The sequence below is a fragment of the Homo sapiens genome, chromosome 2, assembly GCF_000001405.40.
Source record: "Homo sapiens chromosome 2, GRCh38.p14 Primary Assembly".
NCBI lineage: Eukaryota > Metazoa > Chordata > Mammalia > Primates > Hominidae > Homo > Homo sapiens.
Genome location: NC_000002.12, coordinates 43,761,248 through 43,773,923, shown reverse-complemented (window position 1 = coordinate 43,773,923; position 12,676 = coordinate 43,761,248). Strand labels below are relative to the sequence as shown.

General features: G+C 38.1%; 1 protein-coding gene and 1 pseudogene across 4 annotated transcripts in view; one reads left to right on the top strand and one right to left on the bottom strand.

The window, feature by feature from the left end:
• On the top strand, positions 1,574-1,804 carry RN7SKP66 (RN7SK pseudogene 66; annotated as a pseudogene).
• PLEKHH2 (pleckstrin homology, MyTH4 and FERM domain containing H2) overlaps positions 5,937-12,676 on the bottom strand; it is a 130,728-nt gene continuing 123,988 nt past the window's right edge. For all 4 annotated transcript variants that reach the window (NM_172069.4, XM_017003351.3, XM_024452695.2 and 1 more), the window contains 3 exons: positions 11,534-11,620; positions 9,559-9,696; positions 5,937-8,511 (listed from right to left, as the gene is read on the bottom strand). In NM_172069.4, coding sequence (NP_742066.2) covers positions 8,326-8,511; positions 9,559-9,696; positions 11,534-11,620 — 411 coding nt within the window. In that variant the 3' untranslated portion in view covers positions 5,937-8,325. The remainder of the gene's footprint in view (positions 8,512-9,558; positions 9,697-11,533; positions 11,621-12,676) is intronic.

Here is a 12,676-nt window from a genome sequence, read left to right as displayed (position 1 = left end):
GCTTTTAGATCCCAAGTTAGTAACTCCTTGTTACCTCCTAGAACGAGATGATAAGGGGTTACAAACCTGGGATCTAAAAGCAATTTTCTTTTATTTTAAAATTTTTTTACTGGGTGTCAACTATATGCCAAGGGTCTCTGCTCTCTCTCTCTCTCATCTTTCACTTTTTTCTTCCCAATCGCCATGATTTAGGAATAGAGGGTGTAACAATCTCTTGAGCTGTTTTCTGCTAATTTACTAGAAGCAAGGAATATTCGGACTTTAAAATTTAAAATAAGGCACGTAATTTTAATATTTTCCAACTTTCTAGATGTTTAGTTGTTTCAAGTTTTATTCAATAGCACATTGTGTATTTATTAATAAATTAATGAAGCAAGTGCATCTCCTACATACTTCATTTACTTTGTGAATGTAGATTATTTTCTTTTGGAACTTTGTGGTCTCTTTATAGATCTGCAGGAGTGTCCAAATAAATAACGAGCATTGAAATAAATAACAATCATTGAATATGCAAGGCCCTATGCTACACAGAATAAGGAATAAAGAGATGAGTAAGAAAAGATCGCTGCCCTTAAGAAAGACACACACTCAGCTAATTATAAGCACCTAAGGAAGTGAGTGATCTAAACTATTGTATAGAGGTACAAAAATTGCATGAGGGCAAGTGACCAATTATGCCTGAAGGAGATGGTGAAACCATGGCACTGATAGTATTTGGTCTGTATTGAATGCTGAGTAGACTCAGGCTTTCTAGCCTAAGATGCCCTGAATATTTGAAGGAGATACCCTCCCTCCAGTCCTCTACTATTCGGCTTGATTTCTATGGTGCGATGTTCAAGTACATGGGCTTTGGCGTGAGATGGACCTAGGTTCAAGTTCTGACTTGGCCACGCTGGCTAAGTTGTCACATTGCCACATCGGGTAAATCACTGAATTTCTGATCCTGTAAAGCGGGAAAGATTGTGAATCTTAAATGAGATAAATGTAGGTAAAACATAACTTACGTGGGTGTCTGACACATTATAACTGCTTAATGCTTGTTATTATTGTGTGATAAGCTGCTGGTCAGCAACTTCGAACAAAGAAACACAAGGAACACATTCCTGGAAACAAGGCTGATGGTTGATAAAAGGGTGTTTATTTCAAATAAAGTCATTGGGAACAAAATCCTCCCAACACCTAGGTATATTTTGGAGACGTAAAGAACACTAAGCTGCACATAGGAAGGGAATTAATGGGAGTAGAGCTCACCGAAGAAAGGATGATTTTTCAAAGGAGGCTTATACATCTGTCATTGAATCAACAGCTATAGCCTGGTGCTAAGCCAGACTTTAAGCTCACAAACTGATATGGGACAGATTGTAATGAATTGTAATGATTTGGGTTCTAGAACTTCAGAATACTTTTGCATGCTAGTTAGGAAGGCCTGTTGATATTGATAGCAATAACGACAGCTAACATTTTTGCCAAGTGCTTGCTATGTACTGGGCACAATACTCAGTACGAGTACTTCAAAAGTACACTTGTTTGAATAACGGGGAGAGGTGTTTGAAGGAGGGAGCTTGGTAACCAGGAAAGTGAAGGTGATCCGGCTGGGCCCTGATCAGCAGCATTGATTCAGGGTTGATTCAGTTGATCTGACTGAGCAGGTGAGTTCCCCTTTCTTCCCTCATTCCTCTTGAGGCCTTCATACTTGGGCAAAGAAAGTGACTTTCCTGGGTAGATGAAGATTGTTCTTAAGGTAAGAATGGAAGGAGAAGGAGACAATTTTATGCTGCTTTCTGGATGGAATGAGCAACAGTGCAGAAGGGTAAAGGCGTGTGCAGGATGTATTTGGGAAACTGAATAGTTTGGGTTGCGATCATATAAAGTGCCTGGTGGAGCTACAGTGGAAGAGCAAACTGGGCAGGTAGATGGGGCTACTGTGAAGGATGCTGTAGTCTAGACTTTACTGTGTTGGTTATGAGAAACCAAATAGGGTTTAAAAATAGGAGTGTGCCATGATTAGACATGAATTTCAGTGAGATAATTTTTTGCAGTTGTGTGAAGGGTGGTTTGGCATCTAGAAGACCATGCGGAGGCTATTAACAATAGCTAGGAAAGTGACAGGCAGAGTTTTAAAATTTTTTCCCTTGTTTTCAAAGTTATATAAGCTAATTGTAGGGGAAAAAACGTATGCACAGAAAATTAAGAGGGTAAAATAAGCATAAGCCAGAAGTAGTAACTATTAGGTATTTTGGAAATACATTTGATATGTTTCATTCTAATCTTTTTTCTTACAAAGTTGAGATTAATTGTAAAGTTAATTAATGTCCTGATTTTAACATGTATTTCCCCATATCAAATTTTAAAAATGCACCATATCAAATTTTAAAACTGCATCATAAACATAACTTTGATGGTTGCAGAATATTTCACTGCATAGATTTTTCGTAATGTACTTAAGCATTCTCCTAATGTTGAGTACATTTGGGGTGGTTCAGAGTGAACACCTAACATGAGCTGGGTTAATCACAGTCCTTCCCTGAAATTTTTCAAACTAGAATTGGGAAAAGTAAGTCACTCTACCTCTAGAGGAAATTAGCATATTTTATGCTAAATGAATTATTTTGTAGTTAGTGAGCACACATCAGACACACATCAATATGAAGGGAAAGTGCTGGCATATGTCTCATGGTTCTAATTGTCCCTAAGGCTTGCCTGTGTCCTCACCTTTCTTATGGCTTGGTTGTTCAGCTTGCTCTTTGATTATATGAGACATCCTAATATCCTTGTAATACAATTTCTCATTTTTGTCTAAGCTAGTTCAAGTTGAATTTTGGAATTTACAGCAAAAAGAGTTCTATCTAATACAATTACTAGACAGTAGAAAGTAAGACGTTGGTAAAAGGGAGAAAAGTCAATGTTTCCTTCTTGATGGATGAACTGGTGATCCTCTTAACCAATTTTAAGGGGCACAGAGCAGGAGAAGCAGGTTTAGAGGACATGGTGAGTTTGAGATATCGTCCAGCAGACAGTTGGACCATTTGGGGTCTGCTGGACTTGGCAGTTAAGTGGTCAGTGATAACCTCATGTGAAGATGTTTCGATAGAATAGTCAGTACATGAAAGCAGTGTTGATGATACCCTATCCCTGAGTGGAACATCTTATAATCTGTACATGATCCAAAACCCAAGAACTCTCCACAAGCTTTCCTAAGGTTACACTTTCTGTAAACTTTTCTCTCATAAAAGGCAACTCTTATTGGGTTTGATAGCATTTTCCAGAAACTCAAGAAGTTAATAACATCTAAGCCATTTCCTCTGGTATCACCCAATATTCAGTTCCTAGGAGCTCCTGGGAATTCATTAGAGCCACATAGTGAGAGAGGGAATTAGCCTTCTTTTGCCACTGCCACTGCTAAAGAAGAGTTGTTTGATTTTCATAAAACCACAGTATAACCTAGCAGCACGTTCAGAAAGAGCGGCCCTTCCCCTCCCACCCCCACTCTGTTTATTAGAAAATTATGTTGGCAGGCCGGGCACGGTGGCTAACGCCTGTAATCCCAGCACTTTGGGAGGACAAGGCGGGCAGATCATCTGAGATCAGGAGTTCAAGACCAGCCTGACCAACATGGTGAAACCCCGTCTCTACTAAAAATACAAAAAATTAGCCGGGCGTGGTGGCAGGCGCCTGTAGTCCCAGCTACTGCAGAGGCTGAGGCGGGAGAATGGCGTGAACCCGGGAGGCGGAGCTTACATGAGCCGAGATGGCGCCACTGCACTCCAGTGTGGGCGACAGAGCGAGACTCCTCTCAAAAGAAAAAAAAAAAAATTAGCTGAGCATGGTGGCAGGTGCCTGTAATCTCAGCTACTCAGGAGGCTGAGGAAGGAGAACTGCTTGAACCCGGGAGGCAGAGGTTGCAGTGAGCCGAGATCGCGCCATTGCACTCCAGCATGGGCAACAAGAGCAAAACCCCGTCTCAAAAAAAATAAAAGAAAATGGACCGGGCGCGGTGGCTCACGCCTGTAATCCCAGCACTTTGGGAGGCCGGGGAGGGCGGATCACAAGGTCAGGAGATCGAGACCATCCTGGCTAACATGGTGAAACCCCGTCTCTACTAAAAATACAAAAAATTAGCCAGTGGTAGCGGACGCCCGTAGTCCCAGCTACTCGGGAGGCTGAGGCCGGAGAATGGCATGAACCCGGAGGGCGGAGCTTGCAGTGAGTGGAGATTGCGCCACTGCACTCCAGACTGGGCGACAGAAAAAAAAAAAGAAAGAAAATGATGTTGGCAAAGCACAGGAAGGAAGGGTACTCAGTATTCAAGTGCGTTGCTGAACATTTGTGTCCTATTTTGGAGTTATTTGCTAATAGACCTTTCCCTAGTAAAGTTGGTATTCCTTTCCTATTACTGGACTGCAAAATAATATAAAGCATACGATAAAGTTTTTTGGAATGATGCGAATTATAATCCAGAGTCACTGTGACTATGTACAATTTAGGTCAAATTAAATCCAACAAATAAAATCACAATATAAAGTAAATGCTTACCTTGTCTCCTCCCCACAGCCTCTGCCCAGACCCACCAACTCTTCTTTGTAGGACTGATCTTCCCACTTAAATCCCCAATAATTGAGTGTCATAAAGATATTGAAGAAAAAAAAAAACACCCAAGAAAAGCCTGTATGTTGGTCCCACTGAAATATAGATAAATCTTGCTTCACCCTGAACATCTACATGCGGACTTATCTTAATTTGGAATTTAAAGGAGAAAAAGTTCTTTTTGTTGCAGTTAAATCCCTTTCTTCTTCTTCTTTTTTTTTTTTTGAGACAGAGTCTCACTCTGTCACCCAGGCTGGAGTGCAGTGGCGTGATCTCAGCTGTCTGCATCCTCTGCATCCCGGGTTCAAGCACTTCTCTGCCTCGGCCTCCCAAGTAGCTGGGATTACAGGCGCCCACCATCACACTCGGCTAATTTTTGTATTTCTAGTAGAGACGGGGTTTCACCATCTTGGCCAGGTTGGTCTTGAACTCCTGACCTCATGATCCACTCGCCTCGGCCTCCCAAAATGCTGGAATTACAGGCGTGAGCCACCATGCCCAGCCATCCCTTTCTTCTTTTAGGGAAAAGAGAATGGGGGGAAATGTGAGAGGAGATGTCATTTCTGCATAAATCAGGTGGGCAGCAGGGAAACTGCTGTGTCCACTTCTTCTTGCTTGTCACTTCTCTTCCTCAATTTTCAAATTACTGGAGCTGTCCCTCCCTAGAAATCAGCTGCAGGGGGGATGAGTGGGTGGGGGAAATATGTTCTTGGCATCCCACCAACAGGTAAAGCCTTTTTCTAGAGAAATATGGTTATCCATGGTGGTTACTTCTTCAGGATCATGCTTCACGCACAATTAAGGGTTAAATGTATTGTTCTAGGAACTTGATCACTGTGTATTTTTTTTAATTGGCAGGTAGATGTAAGCACATGTATTTCTTTTTAATGAAAAAAAAATCCAAACAACAAACTACTAAACACATTTTTAAACAAAGAGTCTTTATAAGTTGTGACTAACTTCTCTTGTAAATTGAGAGTTAAAGTCATTTCTAAGCTGTGATAGTATTTGATTTTAAGGGCACACACACACAATCCAGAACATTTAAGACAAATTTTTGGAACACAATCCATTCAACTCACCTATATGAAATATGAAATCATGGGAGAACCAATATTTCTATCTATTTACCTATTTACATATTGTGTGTCAATATGCACACATATGGATTAAAATTACAATTCTCCAAAACAGCTCCCTTTTATATGGATAAAACAAAGCAACACTGAAGACAAAGCATGAATGCAAGAGAAGGAGGTAATAACTACCATTTTCACTGGTACTACACCTCAGCTTTGACAATGAAAACATTAGGTATTTCTTGAAGATTATTCAAAAGATAATGCTCAAAATGGGTTTTGTAAATCATTTATTATGACTGAAAGGGAAGAAAATGATAGGAGACAAATATTACAATTAAACATGTAACATTATTCTCTTGTAACCAATCATAATAACATACTTTGAATTTTTGAATGGCTATATAATTTCCCAGAAAATAAAATTTTCACATCATCAGTTACAGAAAATTGATTTCCTTCCATCAAAATATTTTATCTCTGCTCTATCAAAAATAAATGCCAAGTCTAAGGTACTACACAGTTTAAGATAAGCCTTCACTACTTGTTTAAATTAGAGGAGTGTGGGGAGGGGCTTACCAAATGATGAATAAACTACTGCCTGAGAATAAAGCCCTCACACATAAGTAACAGCTCTGTCAAGCCTCTGGCTCACCAACTAATTATTAAATGGCTCTCTAGGAACTTAGAAACTCTTCTGTAACCCAGCCAAAAGGCTTCTGAGAGTCATCACAAACTGGTTACCAGTTTATTCTCAAAAACAAATTTGCTTATTCGATGGGCGACTGTGGCTCAAAAGATGTAGGGGAAACAGTCAATTGAAATCTATTTTGATGGGGTTTAAAAAATATTCTTTTTGTCATTATCAATAAAGTAAAATATTATTTGAGCAATGTATTTCTTAGTTCTGTCCCTTCTAAGGATGCTAATACAGTATGGAACATTTTTAAAAGGCTTAATGTGAGAACAGTACATTGCCACAGGGAGAAGGCAGCAAAGAAGAAAATATGAAGGCTCGGGCAACAAATTAATTCAGCAGCTAACATTTCTCAAATTGGTTAAAAAAAATGACAAAGTGATAAATATATGTCCAAAAAATAAATACAAATATTCTATACATAAATAAAATTAAGTATACTCATGATTACCATTACAATTGAACATTTTAATAATATAATTTTCATGTCTTATCACAGTTTCATTTTTATCATGAATATGAACTACACTGTTGTGACACATACTGGAATGCACTGACCACTTACATAACCTAATAAAGTAATGCATTTAAGTACTCTATCAACTAAAATTTAACCTCCTTTGACAGAAGAATTATTTTCTCTTTTCTTTTAAAAAATATTTTTGAGGCTGGGCACGGTGGCTCATGCCTGCAATCCCAGCACTTTGGGAGGCCGAGGTGGGAGGATTGCTTGAACCCAGGAGTTTGAGACTAGGCTGGACAACATAGGGAGATCCTGTCTCTACTAAAAATACAAATATTAGATGGGCATGGTGGTGCATGCTTCTAGTCCCAGCTATTCAAGAGGCTGAAGTGGGATTGCTTGATCCCGGAAGGTCGAGGCTACAGTGAGCTATGATGGCACCACTGCACTCCAGCCTGGGCAACCAGAGTGAGACCCTGCCTCAAAAAAATAAAATAAAATTTCTGGAGCCAGGTGTGGTGGCTCACACTTGTAATCCCAGCACTTTGGGAGGCTGAGGAGAGAGGATTGCTTGAGGCCAGGAGTTCAAGACCAGCCTGGGCAACATAGCAAGACCCTATCTGTGCATACATATGTATGTATGTGTAGGGAATCTATTTTCAAACTATAATTAGAAGGTAATGTGTGAGGAGCAAAGCTTTAAGGATTGTCTTTGTTTTTAAAGATATTATTAACAAAGCAAGGTCAAAATGACCCAGCACCAAATACAGTGAAATGTGGGCAATATTCTTCTGAATCTGGGCAGCACTGACAGCCAAGGAATGTCAGGAATCACCATCTTGTTTTAAATTTTACACTCCAGTGATGTGAAAAGGTGACGGTATACTTTCTAATACCACACAGGAGGCTCAGGTTACCTAATGTTATCCTGCTTTCTCACATAATGATTCATAGAGCCGGAAGATGTACTGCACCTGCTCTGAAAATGTACTCCTCGCACCACTCTGCAGCAGTTTCTTATGCTGCATGTTCTACTCCTTTCCAAACACTATATCATTAATTAAAAGCGCATTTAGTTATAGCACTTACTATTTTGGCAGTGAACATTTCCAAATAATCAACTGGTTTACCAAATGGGAGTTTGGAATCTCCCTTTCTAAAGATTGCCAGAATATTAAAAAGGGGAAAAAAAGAAAAGAAAAGAAAAGCCACATTGCACAATGTGTCTGATGACAAGGGAGAAGGGAGATGGAAAAAATGATGAATTCTTACTCATTTACTCTATAAGAAAATTAGTGTGTTGGCAAATTTTGTGTTTATGTTTTACTGTTAATATTTATTTGAATATTTAAGAATCAAATAAAAGAGACTAACCCCCTTCATTGTTAAGGTTTGGAATACCGGTGTGTGGCTGCCGTGCTGCCAGGTGTAAACGAACTTGTAGGGAGCTGATACAGCCACAGCATGGAGGACAAGGAGTGAATGTTCAGGCTCCCCAGCTTTCAGAGTAAGGTGGGGCCTTTGGTCGGTCTGCTGCTTGACAGAAGAGGCTGGCTTCCCATCATTCTGGCTTGGGGTCCCCGGGTCTGGGCTGAGAGCAGTGCTGGAGCAGAGAGGTGGTGAAATGCTGCCTTTTGCTGATGGAAGTTGTTTATGTAACTGGCGATCAAAAGAGTGATTTCAAGAATCTAAAACAAGGAAAACAGAATTGTTTTGCTCCTTAGAAGTTCTCATCACTTCCAGAAGAGAGTAAAGTGTTGGCCACAGGTGAGCTCCATTTGCAAGTGCCCAGGCTACCAGAATTCCCTTCTCTCTAGATCAAACAATGAAGTGCTTACATGTCCAGCACCATCAAGGCAGCCACACGTTTTTTCATTACTTAAACCAGCAGAAAGAGTGAATCTCAAAAACAATCAAATTGAGTGGCATTCTTAGGAAATGTGACAGTCAGTAGTAGAACTCTATCAAATTATCATAAAGCCACATTAGTGAATATATGAATTAAGAAAGTTAGTGTCATAAGAACTCTCTATTTTCACTAAAGACTGAGCTCCCTGATCTGCACTTAATGGTTAGCTGCTTTCACTTAAGTATAGGCTTAATTAAGAAAGACATCTATTTTGTAAAAAAAGCTTCAGATTCCGAAGAAGTAATTTCTTTTATCTGATAACATTAAGACAGCTAAAGTTGTAGGAAAATCACTTTCAATTAGAATTACATGTTAGAATGTAATCCATTTATTTATTGCTTTTACTTAGAGATGTTAAAACTACACAGTTTGTTAAAAGTCGTAAAGGAGCAAGTATGTTTTAATTATAAAATCCCAGTCTTTCCTCTAATGAGTCCATAAAGCAAATAACCTCAAGTGAATAAGATAATGTGTATAAAGTACCAGGCAGCAATAACTTAATGCCACAACTATTTATTTTGAATCTTCTATATACCTGGCATTGGGCTAAGTACCCTACAAACTTCCTTCATTTAATTTTTAAGCCAAAAGAAGTAGGGAGTATGTTACCATATTTTTAGACAAAGAAACCAGAGCTTGGAAAGATGATGTAAGTTGGACCCATGTTTGTTTGACTATAAATAACGTCTGTTTTCCCATCTGGAATGCAGTCTTTGCTGAATAAATGTTTTAATATGAAAACAATTAGCATTGCTTTTTGGCCTTCTGGCTAAGACTAAGTGAAAACAACTAGGACAAAAAAGTTGGCAGAAAGGCTTCTACTCACCTTGGGTTTTGCCATGGCAAAAAGTAATTTCTCTGTTGGTTTGTCCTTTGAATGTGTATTGTTAATGACTACCATAAAATCATCTTGATAGCCTCCAAAGGTCATTAGACTCTTGTACACATAGCTGACTATTAACCTCTTTAAAGATAAGAAAAAGTATATATGTTATATGCTCTTACTTCCAAGGAGAGATGGAAAATAATTAATAATATATCTCCATTAAAAGGCAGATATTAATCAATTATGGTATAATACAAAATTATTTTCTAAAATAAAATGTATTATGATCCAAAATAGATAGTAGTGGTACTAATTTTATTTAGGCATCATCTACCTTTACAATGTTGAGTCCGAAACAAGTCACTGCAGAAAAATGAGAAAATATAAGAAAAAAATAAAAAGCATCTATATTCCAGCATCTAGTGGAAAGCCACTGTTAATATTTTTTATATGCCCTTTCATATATCTCTTATATTTATGTTAGGTTAAGCCATATTACTGATACTTTTCATGGTCAAAATGGTCAAGTATTGGTAAATCTACATAGTTCACCTAGATAGATGGATTTTGAAATCCATAAACAGAAACAGTATCACGTATTAACCCTTTGTCACATATGCAGCAAATATTTTTTTCTAATGTGTTTCCAAAACAATGTAAAAATATAACTTAGGCCGGGCCTGATGGCTCACGCCTGAGGCTGAGGTGGGAGGATCACTTGAGCCTAGCCTGGGCAACATAGGGAGACCCAGTTTCTATGAAAAAAAAAAAAAAAAAAATTAGCCGGGCATGGTAGTACATGCTTGTGGTCCCAGCTACTTGGGAGGCTGAGGCAGGAGGACTGCTTGAGCCCAGGAGGTCAAGGATGCAGGGAGCAGTGATCACACCACCGCACTTCAGTCTGGGCGACAGAATAAGACCCTGCCTCAAAAAAAAATCAATAAATCAATAAAATAAAATAAAATAAAATGTAACTAATATACAGCCTGAAAGGACTCTGCATATCTAATGATTACCTTGCAAGACTGAGCAGACCATTCCAGGACTGAATGCCTCAGACCCACCTGTGTGTGCTTCCTGGCCTGTCTGGCTACCTCCTGGGAGCTAGGGAGCTAGTTTTCTGAACTAAGGTAACTTAGTACTGGTGTATAGGTTTTTTGGTTTGTTTGTTTTTACTTTAAGTCACTGATTTTATAATATCTTCAAGTTATCCATTTAAAAACTAAAAGGCACTCAGAAAATATAACCCCTTGAAAAAAAGTGTGTGTGTGTTTGTTTTTTAAGCAATTATAAGGGGAAACAGTGACTATAACACAAAAGAATAGTTTGGTTTCCAGAAAATTTTCAGTGATCTTCTGATTATAGCCACAGGATTAGACCTGCCAGGTGAATTTAGTAATTCCTGCTCACCAGATTAAACAAAAAAGAGAATAAAATTGTATTAAATAATTAGACACATGAAATATGATAAAAAATGTAAATTTCGGGTAAATAAATGAACACATATAGATATCATAGTTTGAATTTAAACTATGTGAAAAGTGCTAAGATGCTATATAAATGACATTATAGGAAATTATAGAAATTGTTAAAGAAGCCTTAGTGAAAGTGAACTTAAACTTTGGTAATTAAAGTTCCCACCTTAATGATTTCTTACAGATTTTTATTTTACACAGGAAACAATCTTCTTAACACTTTTAAAAAATAATCATTTCATGAATGTAACCATGATCACAATTTAGTCATGGTATCAAGATTTTTCTCATACACAATAAACGACCTGTCTTATCTTGTTTTAAAAGGTTAAATTATAATCATAGCTGTATTTGTAAAATGACTGTTCATGACATAGTATTAGGAAGAATGTTTCCTGGGTAAGAGAAAAATCAGATTAAGATATCATTACTTTCTGTTTACGGTACACTGAGCAATGGAAACAGTTGACTTAATGCAAAACTTGAGCGTTTAAACTTACCATGGAGTTGTATTCTAAGAGGCTTAAACCATCCTCATGTACAGCCAGCCACAAGAAAGTACTTCCAAGTGATGATGGAGTTATGGGCTATGAAGAGGTGAAAATACACTATATTATAAATACTAAGCAAAATTACAGGAATATTTTTCAGTCTAAATGTCATGTAACATTTGCCATTAAACAACAATAATAACAACAAAAATTTATTAAAAATCTCGCCTAGGAAAGAGGCAGGGTGGTATACCGGAGCTAAGAGTGAATTCGATATTAGGAGACCTAGCTTTGAGACCCAAACCTGCCATATATTAATGTATGCATTTGGATAAACTACTGAATCTGTTTGAGGCTCAATTTCCTCATCTTTAGCATAGGAACAATAATGTTTATATTTTACTTTTCTTCTGCGTTAAGACGTTAATAGTCAACAAGTTTTTAGGGTTTCTATGATGACCAAAATCCTAATGAAGCAAAATATACTGATATGCTTGATAAGTTGTGTAGTGCTATTACAAGGTAAAAGATTATTATTATAATTGCACACCTTTCCTGAAAGTTTATTAAATCTGATATTCAATGTGTAATAAAAACACAATAACAAGAAAATATGAAACTGTGTAATCAATAGTAATGAGAAATATGAAAATTTCCACCGAATTTTTTATTGTAAAAGCTACGAAATTGACTGGGTGTTGTGGCTCTCGCCTGTAATCCTAGCACCTTGGGAAGCCGAGGTGGGTGGATCATCTGAGGCCAGGAGTTCGAGACCAGCCTGTGCAACATGACGAAACCCCATCTCTGCCAAAGACACAAAAATCAGCTGGGCATGGTGGTGCACGCCTGTAATCCGATCTACTTGGGAGGCTGAGACAGGAGAACAGCTGGAACCTGGGAGGCGCAGGCTGCAGTGAGCTGAGATAGTGCCACTGCACTCCAGCCTGTGTGACAGAGTGAGACTTCATCTAAAAAAAAAAAAAAAAAAAGCTAAAAGCTACTCCTGGTTCTCATAGAAAAAAAAAGCTATGAAATTATATTAATAAAAAGAATCTCCTACCACTAGAACCCAACTGAAACCCATGAATGTTTTTGAGCAATTAATGATGCTTGTTTGGTTCCATTAACAAATGAAATCCTAAAAAAAATCTT